The sequence below is a fragment of the Homo sapiens genome, chromosome 1 (genome assembly GCF_000001405.40).
Source record: "Homo sapiens chromosome 1, GRCh38.p14 Primary Assembly".
NCBI lineage: Eukaryota > Metazoa > Chordata > Mammalia > Primates > Hominidae > Homo > Homo sapiens.
Genome location: NC_000001.11, coordinates 4346862 through 4366152, shown reverse-complemented (window position 1 = coordinate 4366152; position 19291 = coordinate 4346862).

The following is a 19291-nucleotide window of genomic DNA, read 5'->3' as shown; positions in this document are numbered from 1 at the left end:
CCAACGTCAAGGTGCAGGCCGATGTGTGGCATCTGGTGATGGCTGATTCCTGGATTTCAGAGGGTGCCCTCTCACTGCGGCCTCGCGTGGTGGATGGAGCCAGGACTCGGGCGTCCTCCTCTGTAAGGGCACTTGCCCCATTGAGGGAACCCCACCCTCAGGACCTCAGCTAACCCTAATTCCCTCCCCAAGACCCACCTCCAGAGGCCTCACATTGAGGGTTACATTTCAACATATGCATTTGGGGAAGACAAACAGTCCATAGCCCCCTCGTCTACGGCCTCAGCCCAATTTCACCCCCACCAGCAAAGAAGCCCTCTGGATCCCTCATCTGCCGGTCATGCTGCACCGTAACACCTGGGCCCTGGGGCCTTTGCTGGTCACAGTGGGTGGGCACCTGGCATGCCCATCTGAGTGTGGCCAGAAGAGTGGGCCACCAAGCTCCATGGGACAATCTGAGAGAGTGGAGTAGTAGCAAAGGGAGGGGTGCCCAGGCGCCCGTCATAGCTGGCTTCTCTGCTTCTGCATCTTCCCACCCACTCAAGGCTCCTGGTCCCAGAGGACTCTGAAGTCTCTCTGAAGCCTGTCCACTGCCCGGGTCACCATGTGACTCCAGCATCTTGTCCCTGCCCCATCCTGTTCCTATTTAGGGTGCTTCAGGAAACAGCTAGAGATAAGAGCTCCTGGAATGGAGGGAGAGAAGAAGTCAATTCGATGACCAGTCGGGGGCAGGTCAGGAGAGAGAGCTGACAAGGGCCAGGGGGAAATTCAGGGACAGCCCCGCTAGAGTCAGGCCAGGGAAACACCACCACTCTCCAGCAGCCAGGGATAGGCACATGGCCAGGGGGACAGAGTATTCCCTCAGCTTTGGGGACAGATCCTGACCCTACACTGTCCCTCGCAGGCTGTGCCATCATTTCAATTCTTGGGGCCACAATTTCATTGTCTATGAGCCAGAAAGTTGTTCAAAAGGACCCAGCTTTGTATAATATTTATATTTATATATTACTTACATATATACACATTCAAAAATAATCCAGCTGAAAAAGAGGGTTTGGTGGCCAGACTAAAATTTCTGACATTTGTTTCTGTATTGGTCCATTCTCAGACTGCTATAAAGAAATACCTGAGACGGGGTAATTTATAAAGAAATGAGGTTTAATTGGCTCACAGTTCTGCAGGCTGTACAGGAAGAGGATTCTGCTTCTGGGGATGCCTCAGGAAACTTACAATCATGGCAGAAGGTGAAAGGGCAGCAGGCTTTACATGGTCAGAGCAGGAGGAAGACAGAGAGGAGGGAGGAAATACACTCTTTCTTTTTTTAATACTCTTAAGTTCTAGGGTACATGTGCACAACATGCAGGTTTGATACACAGGTACACATGTGCCATGTTGGTTTGCTGCACCCATCAACTCATCATTTACATTAGGTATTTCTCCTAATGCTATCCCTCCCCCAGCCCCCCACCCCCTGACAGGCCCTAGTGTGTGATGTTCCCTGCTCTGTGTCCAAGTGATCTCATTGTTCAATTCCCACCTATGAGTGAGAATACACGGTATTTGGTTTTCTGTCCTTGTGATAGTTTGCTGAGAATTATGGTTTCCAGCTTCATCCATGTCCCTGCAAAGGACGTGAACTCATCCTTTTTTGTGGCTGCATAGTATTCCATGGTATATATGTGCCACATTTTCTTAATCCAGTCTATCATTGATGGACATTTGGGTTGGTTCCAAGTCTTTGCTATTGTGAATAGTGCCACACTAAACATACATGTGCATGTGTCTTTATAGTAGCATGATTTATACTCCTTTGGGTATATACCCAGTAATAAACAACCAGACCTTTTGAGAACTCACTCACTATCATGAGAACAGAACCAAGTGCATGGTGCTAAACCATTCACGAAGGACCCCCCCACCATGAACCAATCACCTCCCACCAGGCCCCACCCCAAACACTGGGGATTACATTTTGACATGAAATTTAGGCAGGGACACAGATCCAAACCATATTAGTTTCATTCATTCATTAATCCAAAAACTATTCACAGAGGGCTTACTGTGCACCGGTGTAGTTCTGAGTACTGAAGATGCTCATAATTTAGCAAACGGCCTCCAAAGTTGGGCACCTGGGGAGCTCTATGGTGTTGGGCTAGTTAGGTTTAGGGTTATTCATTAGGAGGTATTCCAGCTGCACCTCATGGAAAAATCCAAAGTAGCAGAGTCTTAGACAAGAATAGGCTTGTTTCTCTTTCTCCAGGGCTGTTCAGTGGCCCTGCCATGTGAAATGCCACAGATCACAACTCCTCACCTCTCATTGCTCTGCTGTACATGGTCTCCTCTCCCAGTATGACCTTGTGGTCCAAAATGGCTGCTCTAGCTCCAGTCATCGCATCCACATCCCAGCTAGCAGGGAAGGGAATGCTTATCTCCCTTCATAGCCACATCTCCAAGCTGCATGTCCCACATCTACTTATAGTCCACGGGCTGCTGTGGCCACGTACAGCAGCAAAAGAGGTTAGAAAATGTAGGCTTTATTCTGGGTCATCCTACGTGCAGCTAAAATTTGGGGGAATCTATCACTAAAGAAGAAAGGAGACAAGCAGCAGTCACAGATATTGTCTCACACATCCCTGTTAGCTCCCAGGCTGTGGCAAAAAACCCATAAATGTTACTTACACTCAGTAAAATTCATTGGCCCAGCCACGGGCAGCTATTTAATCAAATGAATGATTCCTCATTAGGGAGATAATGGATAAAAATGTGTTCACATGGCAGACATCCCAGGTAAAATATTTACATTTAACAGGGCCTTACCTAATTTTCTTCAATGAACATAGATCACTAGTAAAATTAACAGCTTTCAAAAGGGTGGGTTGGAGGGGGGGCCAGGTGCTTAGTCCAAAGGAATGACTCTGGAAGAGAGAATAGCAGACTCCAGTGGCTGACAGGTGGACAAGTGTGAGACCTTCCAGGACAACCGAGACTCCTGCCCTGGCCTGGGGAAGGGAGGTAGGATACTTGTCTCTCGAAGCCTGCTGGGAAACGGAGTTCAGAGACATCTCTTTCTTTTCTAGTTTATGCCCATATTATGCTGATGAATTAAGAGAAGGTTAATTTAAATAGCAACACAAATACCAGGGTGGTGATCCGAGCCAAAATCGCGGAAATAGTATGCGCTCGGCATCCATGTCCAACCCAAACCAGGACCCAAGTCTCTTCCTTCCCTGTGCGGGACAGCGAGGTGTGAGTGGCCATCGCCCCGGGCTGGCTGCCCCACTGAGTCTCGCTGGGAGTTGGAGGCGACTGCTCAAGCACGTCCTGAATGGGACTAGAGCGTCCCCCAGTGTCACATTTTGGGCTAACTTGGAAGTGCTAAATCCCTACGATGACCCTGGAATTTGTGTAGTCTCATGAGCTCATCCTCGAAGGGAAAATAAAATCGCAGAAAGGCAACACCCCCTGCAGCCTCCCACTGACCTGCTCTGCCCCAGAGAGGAGAGTTTTGCGGAGAGAGCTTGGATTAAGTTCACAGAGTGAGGACTTAAAGAGCTTCCAAAACCTTCCAGCAAGAGGCTTCAGATGTCACCCAGCACAACCTCTGGACCACAAGCCCCAGTAAAATCAATACTAGACTCAAAGGCCGGCGGAGCCCAGGAATAGACCACATTGTGATCTCCGCTGAGCACTGTACAGGGCTTTGTGTTTTTCCCAAGTCAGGGAAGAGCGCAAGCTCCCAAGGTGATTTCCCAGTGGCATTCAAGTCACCCTTGTGCCAGGTTAAAGTCACGTGTGGGCAGGGCTCAGCCAACAGGGAAGGAAGCTGGGGCTGCCCCTCATGGCAGGAAAGATGTTTGTGTTTTCACAAGACCCTGTCCAGGGTGCCCTTTCTCATTCCCAAAATGCTGCTGGGTCTGAGCCCAGGGCCAGCCGGGGACATCTCTGCAAGATGACCCCAAAGGAGGGCACGCAGTTGCCTTTATTCAAATCGTTTCTTTTCTGCACTGGGGGTTTCTCTGCCCTGCCATGTAACTTTGGGGGTGACTAAGGTGCTCCCCACTCCTCCGTGTCCATCTCCCCTCTCCCCCAGCTGTGCCTGGAACCTCTTTTTCCAAATGCCCGCCCTTTGACTGTGACTTTGACCTTAGCAAGGCACACACAGGCTAGAGCCCCACAGAGCCTGAGGTCATCATCAGAAGACGTATCCATTACCCAGGCTGCCGTAACAGAGTACCACGAACTCGGTAGCTTACAGTGACATGCACTTACTTATTCTCTCACTGTTCTGGAGGCCAGAAGTCTGAAATCAAGGTGTGGGCAGGGCCACACTCCCTCCAGAGGCTCCAGCGGTGGATCCTTCCTGCCTCTTCCAACTCCTGTTGGCGGCCGATGACCCTTGGCTGATGGCCGCATCACCCCATCTCGGTCTCTGTCTCCACACAGCCATCTCTCTCCCCTCTCTGTGTCTTCTTCTTTTCTGTATCCTATAAGGATACTTGTCATGAGATTTAGGGCCCATTTGAGAATCTGAGATGGTCTCATTTCAAGGCTCTTAGCTTATATCTGGAAAGACTCCTTCTTCAACTAAGATCCCATTCACAGGTTCCGGAGGTTAGAACACGGGGCCACCATTCAATCCACTGTGGGAGTGGGCATCTGAGTGTCAGTGCAGGCTGAGAGCAGGCACTGAGGGGCAGAGGGCACCCATCCCAGCCTGGAGCCTCAGAAAAGAGGGGCGCACAGAGCAGGTCTTGCCCGCAGAATTAGCCTTGAGGACACAAAGAAGGCAGAAGCCATGGCCCAGGGGCCAGGGATGAGAGAGCGAGTCCCTGTGAGCCAGAACCCCAGGGCTCATTCCGGGGCAGTGTGACCTGAGACCTTTGAGGAGACCCAGATCAGCCCCCACAGGGAGAGGGGCACCCTGCTGAGTGATCCTTTAACATGCCACACTACAACTCCCAGCAATGGGCAGAGAAATCCTATTGAAATGTCCATGGGAAATGAAGTTGGGGAAATATAATTACTTAAAATTGACCCTGAGCTCTGACGAAGCTGGTCTGAGTAGACTGGTCTAAGCCCACATGATTAATCCAATTACATGAAACAGCTAAATGAACCCAGGCTGGGATTAAACAGAAAGGAAGGCTAGCGTCTGTGGGCTGCAGTGCCAGGATGATCCGGGGGTGGGTAGTGGGCTTTGGGGGGAGACTTCATAGCTGCAGCTGCCTGCCCTGACCACCCTGGGACAAGACAATGGCCCCAATTCTTGTCCTGATGGAATCCGACCTCCACGCACTTCTTTTGAGTGTGTGTCTGAGAACAGAAGTGAAGAATCCTATTATTCTATCATTTATTCTACATTTATGGAGCATTTCTATTTCAGAAACTGGGACCGGTGTGGCTTGCAGGAGGTGCATGGCTGGTCATGGCAGAGGGGCAGGCAGGGTGCAAGGGTTCCTCAAACACCAGCATGTAGGAGCCTCTGGGACCTTGTAGAAATGCAGGTTCTCACTCAGCAGGGCTGGATGGGGCCTGGGCACCTGCATTTTTCACCCACTCCCAGGGTACTGGTGCTGCTGGTCCCTGAAACTAGGCTGGTGAACTTTGCAGACAGCGGTGAGGGCTTTGGAGAATGTTCTAAGTACCCTGGAGTCCAGAAAAGTTGTTCTGTGCTTCATTTGAGCTACTGGTGGAGGCAAGGCCGGCATGCTACAGGTGGGTCAGGCAGGAGAGTACCCAGGTAGATGGGAGGCCACCTGGAACCTTCTGGCCATCTGGGGAACGTGGAAATGGGCCAAAAATGGCGGGAGTTGGGAGAAGCCAGCAGCACTGGAGAATCTTTGGTGCAATCCTGAAAGAGCTTTCCATCAGCTCTTGTTGGTCTGCACCCAGGCTGAGCCAGGGAGACAGCGCTTAGTAAAACCCTTCCTTCTGGGTCCTGAGCTAGGCTCTGCTGCACCGGGTGTGAAGGTGGCCAAGAAGTTGCCCCAGGCCCTCCAGCGGCACCCACCCTCCTCCAAACACATTCCTTACACCCAGACACCCACCCCTCAGGCCCCCATCTGCCTCAACCCTACGTGACAAGCTGCCCCGACAGGTTGCCTATAAGGACAGTATCTAACCTGAGAATTTACAGTTTTTCCTCTCCTCTGAATCCTTGCATTTTAGTTTGTCTTTGGTTAGAGACTAAGAATGCTCCTCACAGATTATCCAAAGGATCTCTCCATTTCCTGAGTCCACACAGTGCATTCTTTCCTTCCTTTCTTTCTATTTTTTTTTTTTTTTTTTTTGGCAACATTCCCATTAGTACAAAGGCCTGGTGTTATTGCTAAATGCGCAATGCTATTTTAATGACAACCACAGGCTTTGCGGCAAAGTTTACCCCCTGTAGATGTGGGTGCTGCTCAAGCGCTGCGGGAAGAAGAGGGAGCAGCTGACCATCCCCCCATAGATTCCTCCCTACCTGCCTTGAAGTAAATTGTACTAACAACCTCCATAATATAAACTGTCAGTTACCATCGGGCAATTTTGAGCTGCGTGGATAATCCTACTGAAAGCAAAGCCACATTCAGCAGGTTCTTCCCTACCTGTGTTCTTTGAGGATGAGGGCACTCACCAGTAAGAGAGCCTCGCTACATGGGGTAGGGGTGGGAGGATCCACAAGGGTATCCTTCAAAAGTGGTCTCTGTACTGAGTCAAGCTCTGTGACCTGGGGCCAACCACTCAACCTCTCTAAGTTTAGTCAGTCCCATTTTCAGGTGAAGTCGTAAATACCCATCAGGCGGTGCCCACAGAATCCAGCAGGTATCTAACAGGAGAAAGAACACAAAAGCACATTCGGTGAAAATAACAGCACCTTCCTTCTAGGGCAGTGGTGAAAGTCAAGTGTTCCCCTCTCAGCTTCCTAGAAAGCACCTCTAACTGGGTGGCTGAAAATCATGCAAATGGATCCTCTCCCAGTTCTGGAGGTAGGAAGCCTGAGATCCAGGTGTCAGCAGGCCACGTTTTCTCGGGAAGTTCTAGGGAAGCATCCTTCCTGCCTCTTGCAGCCTCCAGTGCTGTAGGCAGAGTCCCTGGTGTTCCTTGGTCTGCAGATGCAGCTTTCCAGCCTCTGCCTCTGTCTTCACGGGGCCTCCTCCCACTGTGTCTTCCCTCTTCTCTTCTGTCGTTGGATTAGGATCCACTCTAATCCAGTCTAATCACATCTTAACTAGTTACATCTGTAAAAAGCCAATTTCCAAATACGGTGACCTTCAGAAGCTCTGGGTGGACATAGACCTTTGGAGTCACACTGTTCCTCCCATTATGGTTGCTTTCTATAAAGCTCATAAAAATGCAGCCAGCATTTCATAAGAGCTATGCCCATGTCGGCCACTATCGTTTTTAAAAAATAATGACATAAATGCAAGTTAATTTTGTGACTCTTCTTAGTCACACAAAATGTTGATGATTTCCTTATTGGTATTCTACTGCACTCCATGAGAAGCGTCTGTTTGCGCTGCAGGCAGGATGAAAACTGTGTGTCCAGGCATGGGACTGCTCCGTCGTCCTGCATGGTGCTGGTCCAGGGCGCCAAGTCCTGCTCCCCAAGCCCACTCCACTTTCGCCAGCCGGCTCTTCCTGTTACCAACACTGCTGTCTGCTGTGATTTAAGAAACATTCTAGGGAGACCCTGCGTCATGATTCCAACCCTCCCAGAGAGAAAAGACAGAGAGAAAGGGGCTTTTGCTAACTCCAGCCTCAGTTTCCCCATCTACTCCCTCCCTGAGCTCCCCCAATGCGTTAGAAGATTAATCATTGCTATGTCTGCGTTTTTAAGGATATAACATTTATCTTAGATTTATTGTTATTACAGTTGTTTCCATTTCCCAGCAATGAGCCCATTCACCCCAGGCCTCTCGTGGCCTCTCATGTGGTGATCCAATATGATTTACTCATAAAAGCCCGTGACCAGAGCCCCACCTAATTGTGGCCTAATTACACTTGGCAAAAGCTGAGGAAAATGCCACCATGACTTGCTGTGTCGTTTGGGAGCCCAGAATAATCCACGCTGTGACTTGTGTGTGTCTCGGGTACTGGCGGCAGGTGGTACACTGAGAGCATTTCCCTCTGTAATTCTGAGAGCCGTGTTTTTCCAAATGAGTGAAGTTCTGACCTGCAGAAAGCATGCTTCCTCTACCCCAGAGCACCAGGGGCCTGTCCACATGGGGCACTTCGGCTGATCTCATGGCTCTCCCGACAGACGGTTTAGGGCACTGTACTCCCCAGCAGCAATGATCACCTTAGTGAAGACAGGAGTCCCCCTTATCTGTGGGGAATGCCTCTCAAGACCTCCAGTGGGTGCCTGAGACCACAGACAGTAGCAAACCCTATATACACTACGTTTTTCCCTACATGTACCCACCTATGATACAGTTTAATTGACAAATTACACACAGCAAGAGATTAACAATAACGAATGCTAAAATAGAAAAATTACAGCAAGTAATGAAATGGGAAAGGTTCCCTTGTCCCCCTCGCAGGGAGTGTGATGAGGGTGGGGCTTGCTTGTTTGGTGCCCCGCTGCTCAACGCTCTAGGGAAGCATACAGACAGGCAAGCTGTGGGGCTCAGACCCCACAGCAGTGTCTAGGGTGGACGTTTACAGCTCCTGAAGCCCCAATGGGCGTGTGTTCCAGGGCGCTCTTTGAGTTTGCCATCTATAGGCTTGTATTAATCAGCTCAGTTTGACCCTCTACCTTCTCGCAAGAACAGAGGACTCCCTGTATCGTGGGTTCTTGCCTTGGTGTACTAGAAGAATTGGATCCCACATGGGCTTGGAGAATGAGTGCAAGGTTTCATTGAGTGGAAGGAGCTCTCAGCAGATAGGGGAGCCAGAAGGGAGATGGTTTTCCCCTGGAGTCCCTCATTCTCTCCCATTCTCTTTCTCTTTCTCACTCTCTCTCTCTCCCTCTTTCTCTCATTCACACTCTTTCTCCCATTCACACTCTCTCTCTCTCTCCCTCATTCTCTCTCTGTCTCCCTCTCTCTCTCTCTCTCTCTCTCTCTCTCTCTCTGTCTGTCCCTCCTCCAGAGCTGAATTGTCTGCATGAGGACCCAGAGAAGGGGCAAAGATGCCTGGAGTGTGCCAGGAGCTTCTGCTGCAGCGTTTGCCCTGCAGGTCGGTGTCCTTGGTGACCGCAGAGGTGACCGCGCTGAGAAGAAGTGCACTGCTGAGTGCCCGAGGGGAGGAGGGGGGAGAAGGAGGCTTCCCCAGGTGGATGGGGTCAGCAGGGATCTCCAGGGAGGCCAGAGGGCTCCATGCTGGTCGCTGATCAGAGGGCTCGTTCTCCATCCCGACTCCTGGCTCACATCTTTAGTTCTTCCCAAGCAGTCACTGCTCACACGTGGCACTGGCCCCACCGCCTCCAGCACCACCCACTGATGCTCCTGCGGCCTCCTCGCCATGAGGGCAGATTCCCCAAGGGCTGTGACACTGCGGTGCTGTGCAGGGTCTTCCTGTCTCCCTCTGCAAAACGCACCCATCGTGAGTCCATCCACTGGGGAGATGTTCAAAAGCAGGCCGGACTCATAAACTGGGGCGATAACAGCCAGACGGGCTTTTCCTCGGAAGGATGGGAGGTTAGGCAAGGGGACCTTCAATGGACTCTTGCTTCCCATGCAGCACGTGGCTATGGCTGTGTGCAGGGCCCCCGGGCTGCAGGGGCAAATGAGAGGGGTGGGCTGCACCCCCCACGAGGTACAGGAGACACAAGGGGCAGCTCTGTGAGGCTGCAGGGTAAGGGGGCTCAGGCAGAAGGAACTGAGCAGCCCAGGGGGTGAACTGAGAAAGAGAGATCCCCGGCCCTCTCCTCAAAAGAAGATGCAATGTCGTGAGAAAGAGGCAATTCAGCAGATCCCAGGGGGTTTGCGACACCAGATGAAGCCCTCCCACTCACAGTCAGCCACGCCCCTGTGATTTCTCAGAGTTGACCTGCTTTTGCTTCATTTCAGGATACCCCCGTGTTGCTCCTTTTGACTCTGCAAGAAGGTAAACTGCACTGAAATGGGGTGAAGAGTAAATACCAACCCATCTGTCACATGCAGGAGGCGGAGCCACAGGCCCAGGAGGCCCTGAGCGCCTCAGAGGGAGGGAGGTCATGCTGTCATGGGAGGGTGACAAGCCATGCGGTGGGGGCTACACAGGGTCCCTCCAAGGCTGAGAGGGTGGAGAGTCTGCTGGATGAGAGAAGTCCCTGACCTTGTCCATCCTTTCAGGTCACACCCGATGAGCCCCTGCCCACACCAGGCTCTGTAATGCCCACCTGGTGAGCCCCTGCCCACACCAGACTCCATAGTTCACACCCAGTGAGCCCCTGCCCACACCAGACTCTGTAGCGCACACTTAGTGAGCACCTGCCCCGTGTCAGGCTCCACACCCCTTTGACATCAGCCTCTGGCCATGTGGTTGTTTCTCCATCAACTCCTTGAAGTCCTGCCTGGTTCCCTTCCTGAACTGCAGTGGGAAGGGATGTGCCCATGTGGCCAGGTGGGCTTTGCCCCGTGCCTCTCCTGGGAGCACATTCTGTCAGCACGCACCTGCTTATTCTTAAGAAAGCCAGGAAGCAAGCCTTCACTAAGCAGCCTCTGAAAGCTGCGTCATGAATCAATTCCGCTTGGGGTGTTTTAGAAGGATTTTGCATCTTCTGATAAGATTGTATTTCTAAATCTCTTTCAGTACCGCACACCTAGCCCCTTGCCTAGACCTTCCACGGCGATTATGTTGAGGAAATGGGCATTATCTCCATCTGTGTTTGAATGAACAAGGGCTAGCACCAAGCATCCTGATGGAACTTCATCCTCTCCGTACTCATCTCCCACTTACTCTCCCTCCAGTCAATATCCCAAGGTGTGACTGTGGCCTAGTAGCCATATGAGTGCTGGGCCAGGGATGCCAGGCAAGGTGGGCAGGGGAGCAGTGCTGTGGCTGAAGCCCAGGTGCATTGGTGTCATACAGACTCAAGCCTGTGTTCAAATCCCAGCTCTGCCACCTTCTGGCTTTGGGGCCGCCATAGGCAGCTCTTCCAGTGTGCTGAGCCTCAGTTTCCCCCTCTGGAGGATGCCGTTGCTAGAAAGCACACCATGGCACGATGGTTCAGAGGCCCCAGCCCAGCACCTTCTGCTCAGCATCCCTGTGCTCACCAGGCACAGAGCACCATGGCACTCTTATGTGGTTAACAAACAGCAGACTGTGGGGTTATACAGGCAGCTCTGTAGCTACAAATCACCAAGGAGAGGCTGAGGCCCAGCACAGCCCTGAGGCTGGACACCCACCAGCATGGACCTCATCGACTTGCTCTGAGGATCACATGATATAAGAAATGTAAAATGCTTCATTGAGTGCCCGGTACATAATAAAATCTTGATAAATATCAACTATTAGGAGTAACAGCCCACATTTATAGAGTGCTTATGTGCATTAGCCACTGTTATGAGAACATTAGGGTGACTAACTCATGGAATCCTATACCATCCCCAGAATGTAGGCGTCCCCATGTCAGGAGGAAACAGAGCACAGAGATGTGAAGTTATTGCCAAGAGTCACACAGCTCTCATGGTGGCCCCAGGATGGGAGCCCAGGCAGCCTGGCTCCTGAGGCCACATTCTTAGCCACTGGGCTGGCAGCTGCTTCAAACATGGATGTTATTATTTCCACCATCATCGGTGGACTTGAGTTCCTGAAGGGCCTGTACTATGCCTCCATAGCCCTCCTCCAAGGAGCAAGTGTGCAAGAGGTGCCTGCTGCATAAATTCTGCCAATGAAAATGTCTAGAGATGAACTGCCTCTTGGCTCTGAGGTCATCAACCCTGACACACCAGCAGGTGGGTAGGGTTAGCAGTGAGCTCCCCCGGCACCCGCCAGTGCCTGGAATAAATCCAAACAAAATGATAAGTGGCTGGTACGTTGCACTCAGACCCAAGAACAAAGTATCAGCCTTATCCATGGGAAGTGGGCTTGCGTGGAGAGCTTTTTCCAAGGTGCAGGCAGCCCAGGGTCTACCTGTAGCTTGTGAGGCAGACGTGACTCTGTGGATTTAAGTGTCCTCTCGCTGGCCTTCCTCCAAACTCCAGGGAACCTCAAGAAAAACTGGTGCCCTTGCTGCTTCAGGGCTGCCAGTATCTAAGGTGTCTGCAAGTGACACTGCTCCAGGATGCCACATCCCTACTGGCCATTCAGCAGCCAGACTCGATGTGTGAGGTCCTCTCCAACATGATGGAAGCAGAGCCCTGCCCTTCCTCACTGGGCTGGCAGGACCCTCTTCTGTGCTGACTGCAGAGCTTGCAGCTCTCACGGCCAGCTACCGGCAGCCAGCATGACAGACCAAGGCCCCCGAGCTGGGAGGAGAAGTCTTTGCAGGCACGTGTGCACACACATCACAAATGCACACACACACATGCATATGTACACACATGTACATATTCATGCAGACACAAGCACACACATGTGCACCGCACACCTATATGGATATGCACATGCACACAACACAGGTGCACGCATGTACACATGTGAGCACATATATGCACATGCACACATATATCTACATGTATACACACACACACACACACACACACACACACACCAAAGCTAGGAGAGAGGCTGGAAGAGATTCTCCTTTGCAACCCTCAACAGGAACCAGCTCTGCAGACACCTTGATTTCAGACCTCAGAACTGTGAGGGGACGCATTCATCTGGCTCTGGGTCCCCCTGTTTGGGCTACTTTCTTAGCGTGTCTCTAGCAAACCCAAGTGCTAAACCTGGAGACCACGTGCTGGAGGTGGCGGAGCCTCCCTCAGCCTGGGGCCCTGACTGGCTGTGTGGCACAGAGCACCCCAGCGACTCCTTCCAAGAGGACCAGTGTAAGCAGGAAACAAACCTAATGAGGCTGAGGCCTTGAGGATGCTGGGCTTGTCAGGAGGTAGCTGCTAGCATGGCTCCCATCAGAAGAGGGGTGGGGTGGAGAGAGGCAGGCGGGACACTCAGGCCAGCTGCAGCCTAGAACCAGAAGGAATGAAATCGGTAGCAGAGGAGACACAGAGACAGGGTTGACAGGAGGGATGCATGGGGCCAGCATTTGGTGCTGAGAGGGAAGGTCTGGAGAACAGACCTACAGGGGAGAGTAACACCGGAGGCAGCAAACTCCAGGCCCAGCCCCCCAACTCCCACCCTGCCACACCTGCAGCTCCTGGAAGCTCTGATGATGGGTCCATGGGCTCTGAACCAAGGGGGTGGGTGACTCCTGCCTGGATGCTCCCCCTTCCTGCCAGTCTCACTCCACAGCCCTTCCTTTCCCCGACAGCATAAGGTCAACCAGGCTGCAGCTTTTCTCACCCTGAAGAGCCATGCCCGCAGGTCCGCAGCAGGGCTGGCAGCAGCAGGGGGCTTCATCTCAGAGCCCGGACGCTTCTCCAAGGCCTCACCTGAATTAGTCCAGCCTCTTCCCTGTGTTCCCCCAGCCCTGGGGGCTGCAAGCAGCTTCTGCATTCACTTTCTTCTCTGTTTGCCTTCCTGTTACTGAGGAACAATTTTTATACCTAGTTAACTATTTTTTTCTTTTTCTTTTTCTTTTTCTTTCTTTTTTTTTTTCTTTTGAGATGGAGTCTTTCTCTGTTGCCCAGGCTGGAGTGCAGTGGTGCGATCTCGGCTCACTGCAAGCTCTGCCTCCCGGGTTCATGCCATTCTCCTGCCTCAGCCTCCCGAGTAGCTGAGACTACAGGCGCCCGCCACCTCACCCAGCTAATTTTTTGTATTTTCAGTAGAGACGGGGTTTCACCGTGTTAGCCAGGATGGTCTCGATCTCCCAATCTCATGATCCGCCTGCCTCGGCCTCCCAAAGTGCTGGGATTACAGGCATGAGCCACCGCGCCTTGCCTTCTTTTTCTTTTTTGAGACAGAGTTTCACTCTTGTTGCCCAGGCTGGACTACAATGGCATGATCTCAGCTCACGACAACCTCCATCTCCCAGGTTCAAGCAATTCTCCTGCCTCAGCCTCCCAAGTAGCTGGCATTACAGGCATGCACCACCATGCCCAGCTAATTTTGTGTTTTTAGTAGAGACGGGGTTTCTCCACGTTGTTCTCAAACTCCCGACCTCAGGCAATTCACCCGCCATGGCCTCCCAAAGTGCTGGGATTACAGGCATAAGCCACCAAACCCAGCCCCTAGTTAACTATTTTTTTAATATTAAATGATTTCCATTGAAACGTCCAGTGGGATTTCCGTCTCTGGGAGAAGATGTGCGCGGTGTAACCAACAGTTGTGATTTCTGCTGGCTTGGCAGCCACTGGCCCTGCCTCCAGAAACACCTGGTGGTTGGTTGGCCCCAATCCCTCTCTAAGTAAGTCATGGGGAGAGGACACCACCTGACCCCACCTGACCCAGCAGACACACCCACACCGCATCCACTCACATCAGCCTGAACCAGGTTGGTGCCCATCAACCCCAGGATGCAGCTCGAGCTGTGGAGGAAAAAGAGCCCTTTGGTCCCTGGGGCTGCTCCAGATGCAGGAGCGAGCCTGACGCCAGTGGGGCTGCCACAGAGAGCAGAGGACCAGGCCCACGGGTTGTCTTGGTTTGAGCCCAAATCCAGCCACACTCATATGTGAGTCAGTATAGCCCCTTCCTGGCTTCAGTCAGTCCACATGGTGTTCCCATCGGTTGAAGCCAAGACAGTCTAGCTCTGGGACTGAGTGAGCAGTGGCTGGGGTGGCCTGGGACGCTGGGTGCAGGGACCGGGCCACCTGCCAGCAGGACTTCTCAGAAGCACTCTGGTTTCCTCTTCCTTATTAGCTAGAGGTGACCCCATGGAGCCCCCATCTCCTCCGCCCCAGGCAGGAATTGCTCCTCAAGGGCAATTTGCCCCCCACCCCCGCCTGGCTGCTCTGGCCTTAGCTGTGCATTTGCCTCTTGGGTGTAGTTGCTCATTTGTGTCAATAACAGGCTTGACTTCCAAGCCTCCTGCCGCTGCCTTCCGGGCCCCACCTACCACTTCCCAGGGCTATTTTGGGTGGGTGTGTGGGCCCCTAACTGTGACTTCCAGCCCCGCCAGTTGACACAGACTCCTATTTTCCAAGCCAGCAAAGGGAGGCCAGGCTTCACATCACCCTTGAACACTTGACACAAAAACATGGTTCTAGAAACAATCCCAGAGGCAACAAGCTCTTCCTTGGACCTCAGGCAGGACCCAGTAAAGACCTGGCTCGATGGTGAGATGCTGCCTGGAGATGCAGGTTGGAGGGAGGGGTCCTCAGAGCCCTACTTGGCCCTGCCTTTCCAGGTGGTCTCACCTGTGTCCCTGCAGAATGGTGAGCTCACCCCAGGAAAGGAGGTACTGCCTGGACCACTGCCCTCGGGTCAACTCTCCATGATACCCACTCATGCGGATGCCTCTTCTTCCCTCACATCCAGTGCATCACTGAGTGGTGGCCGAACCACTTCCAAATACTTCTAGAATCCCCACTTCTGGCTCCACTAGAGCTCCACTGCCGCTCTGCCCTGAGCTTCCGTCAGCTCTCCTGGACCCTGACAACCCAGGGGCTACTCTCCTGCTTGCCCTCTGATCCCTGTGCACGGGGTTGAAGGGTGTCTTCCCAGATTCGTGCCCACCCAGAACCTTACCATGTGAGTTTATTTGGAAATAGCGTCTTTGGAGATGTAATTAGTTAAGATGTGGTTATATCATCCATTAGGATGGGCCCTAAATACAGTAGCTGATGTCATTCTTTTTTTTTCTGTTAAATTAACAGAATATTTATTTTTTAATTGATTAAACTTGGTGATTACTATTTTTAAACTACAGATCTCCTTCTTTTTTTTTTTAATACTTTAAGTTCTGGGATACATGTGCAGAACGTCCATGTTTGTTACATAGGTATACACGTGCCATGGTGGTTTGCTGCCCACATCAACCCATCATCTACATTATGTATTTTTCCTAATGCTTTCCCTCCCAAGTCCCCCACCCCGCAACAGACCCTGGTGTGTGATGTTTCCCTCCGTGTGTCCAATATGTTCTCATTGTTCAACTCCCACTTGTGAGTGAGAACATGCGGTGCTTGGTTTTCTGTTCCTGTGTTAGTTTGCTGAGAATGATGGTTTCCAGCTTCATCCATGTTCCTGCAAAGGACATGAACTCATCCTTTTTTATGGCTGCATAGTATTCCATGGTGTATATGTGCCATATTTTCTTTATCCAGTCTATCATTGATGGGCATTTGGGTTGGTTCCAAGTCTTTGCTATTGTGAACAGTGCTGCAATAAACATAAGTGTGTATGTGTCTTTATGGTAGCATGATTTATATATGTATATCCTTTGGGTATATACCCAGTAATGGGATTGCTGGGTCAAACGGTATTTCTGATTCTAGAACCTTGAGGAATCGCCACACTGTCTTCCACAATGGTTGCATGAATTTACACGCCCACCAACAGTGTAAAAGCATTCCTATTTCTCCGCATCCTCGCCAGCATCTGTTGTTTCCTGACTTTTTAATGCTCACCATTCTAACTGGCATGATTCTATGAAAGAGATGCAGACACAGATAAATACGGAGGTTAGACGGCCATGGCATGATGAAGGCAGAGCGGAGAGATGCAGCTACAAGCCAAGGAAGAGTGAGAGTTGCTGCCCTCCACCAGAAGCTGGAAGCAGCAAGGAGAAATCCTTCCCTAGAGCCATAGAAGAGAGTGCAAACCTGCAGCACCTTGAATTTGAACTCCTGGCTCCAAAACTGCGAGAGAATAAACTTCTGTTCTGAGCCTGTGTGTGGCCATTTGTCACAGCAGCCACCAAATACTAATACAGTTTGTAACCTGTCTTCACTTGGAAGGAGACTGAACTTTACACAATGCAAATCATCCCCTTTCCCTTTCTGCTCAGAAATCATTTCATTTCATATAAAATAAAAATCCTTAATGCGGTCAGTCTCCAGGCCAGGACTGGCCCCACGTGCCTCCCTAGCCTCCTCTCAACCTACTGCCCGGCCCCCTACAGAAGCAGCATGAATGGGAACACTGTTCCCTCTCCTCTTAGTCAAGCAAACTCTAATTCATTCTTTCTCTCTTTTACACAATTTTAGTTATGAAAAACTTAAAACATAAAAAAGACAGACACCATGCACCTGCACCCTGTGTGCGACCTATGTCACTATGTGTGTACTTCCGACCCATTTTTTTTTTTTTTTTTGAGACAGAGTCTCGCTCTGTCTCTAGGCTGGAGTGCAGTGGCACGATCTTGGCTCACTGCAACCTTCGTCTCCCAGTTTCAAGCGATTCTCCTGCCTCAGCCTCCTGAGTAGCTGGGATTACAGGTGCATGCCACCATGCCCGGCTAATTTTTGTATTTTTAGTAGAGACAGGGTTTTGACATGTTGGTCAGGCTGGTCTCAAACCCATTTTTTAAATGAATATATTGCAGAAAGAGTTGGGTCTCTAGGTGCCAGCTCTCTGCCCCACCTGAGATTGGAATTTCCTCCCATCCATGTTTTGATTCATGCTCTCTGTCTCTCTCCTCTACTTCCATCTTTTTTCTCCCTCTCTCTTTTCTCTTTCTTTTTCTATACACACACACACATGCACACACACACACACACGCACACACAAGCAGATAATATATGGTATTGTTAGAAGTACTTATAGGTTTACACAAATAACATTATTATGTTATTTATCTTCTTGTAATTTGCTTTTATGTCAATATTATTAATTCTGAGATCCATCGTGTTGGTAAATATCGATGGAATGTATCCATTTTAACTGTGGTATGACATGACACCCCACTGGGGAACATGCATCATGTGTTTCCGCAAACTCCTCTCCACTTCACACCAGCCCACATGAGCACAACAGTACTGCAGCGAATACTCTTTTATGTGCCTTTGTGCAGGTGTGTGAATGTTTCTCTAGTTATATCCCAGGAGTGATGTCATGAGCTGTGGAATGTGAGTATTTCCAATTTTACTGAATATTGTCAAATTACTCTCCTAAGGGTTGTAGCAATTTACACTTCCAACAGCAGTGGATTCTTTCATTCATGCCTGCACTCACTCATCCCAAAAGTATATTTGGTGAACACCTACTTTGTGCAGGCACAGCTCTCAGCACTGGGGACACAAACACAGTGCTCTGTTGTCCAGAACTGTGGTGGATGCTGGGTTAGGTTGTCTGGATGCAAGACCTAACTCGACAACTGATTAATAGGACAGCCTTGGGTGAGTTATACAACATCTTCATGCCTCTGTTCCCTCCTCTGTAACATCTGATAAAGTTGAAAATACATAGATATAGATCAATGTACAGATATGCATACATAATCAGATATAAATATAGATATAGATATACACAACCCAGTATAGATTTAGATATGCACATAGACATAAATATAGATACAGATAGAGCTACACGAATAGGCATGCAACTAGGTATTCGTGCAGATGGGCACAACTGAATATGGATATAAATACACACACAGGCATAGATATGCACAACCAAGAACCAGGCTCCTCTGTGCCTCAGTTTCCCCTCTTAGAGTAAGTACTCCAAAGTTTGATGAGGAGGAGGATGTGATAATGTATGTAAAGCACTTTTTCAGTACCTGGCACAGACAGTGCTTATACTGGTAGCTATGATTATTTTCCTGTGTCAATATCCTGCCACCAAAACCTCCAAGAACACACTTTTAATGTCAAACAGAGTTAAGTTTACTGTCTCATTGCAATGCAGGAGACCACACACCATGGAAAGCCATGGAGCGTCTTCATAACAGCGTGTTACAAAGAACTGATTAGATATTTGACCTTGTATTAGGTAACTTGGGGAAGGATAGAACTGATTAGAGCTTTGGCCTTCTATTAGGTGATTTGGGGAGGAAAGAATTGATTAGAACTTTGACATTGTATTAGGTGATTTGGGGGAGGAAAAAACTGATTAGAGATTTGACCTTATATTAGGGGATTTGGGGTTGAAAGAACTGATTAGAGCTTTGACCTTGTATTAGGTGATTTGTGGGAGGAATTTGGAACTTTGCCCTGGATTGGATGCTGTCAAGAAGTGGAGATAATTTAATAATTGGATATCTTAATATTTGCATGGAGAAGGCCAGAACAATGGAGTGAGGACAAAGCTGCAATTGGTAAGGAATTAGCTGTCATTCATATTGGTCAGGTCAGGGGGATTGGTTATTCTGTGGATTGGACATTTTTGGCTGTGCTCTGACATGGTGGCCTTGTCAGATATTAACACGCTGTTAAACCATTTC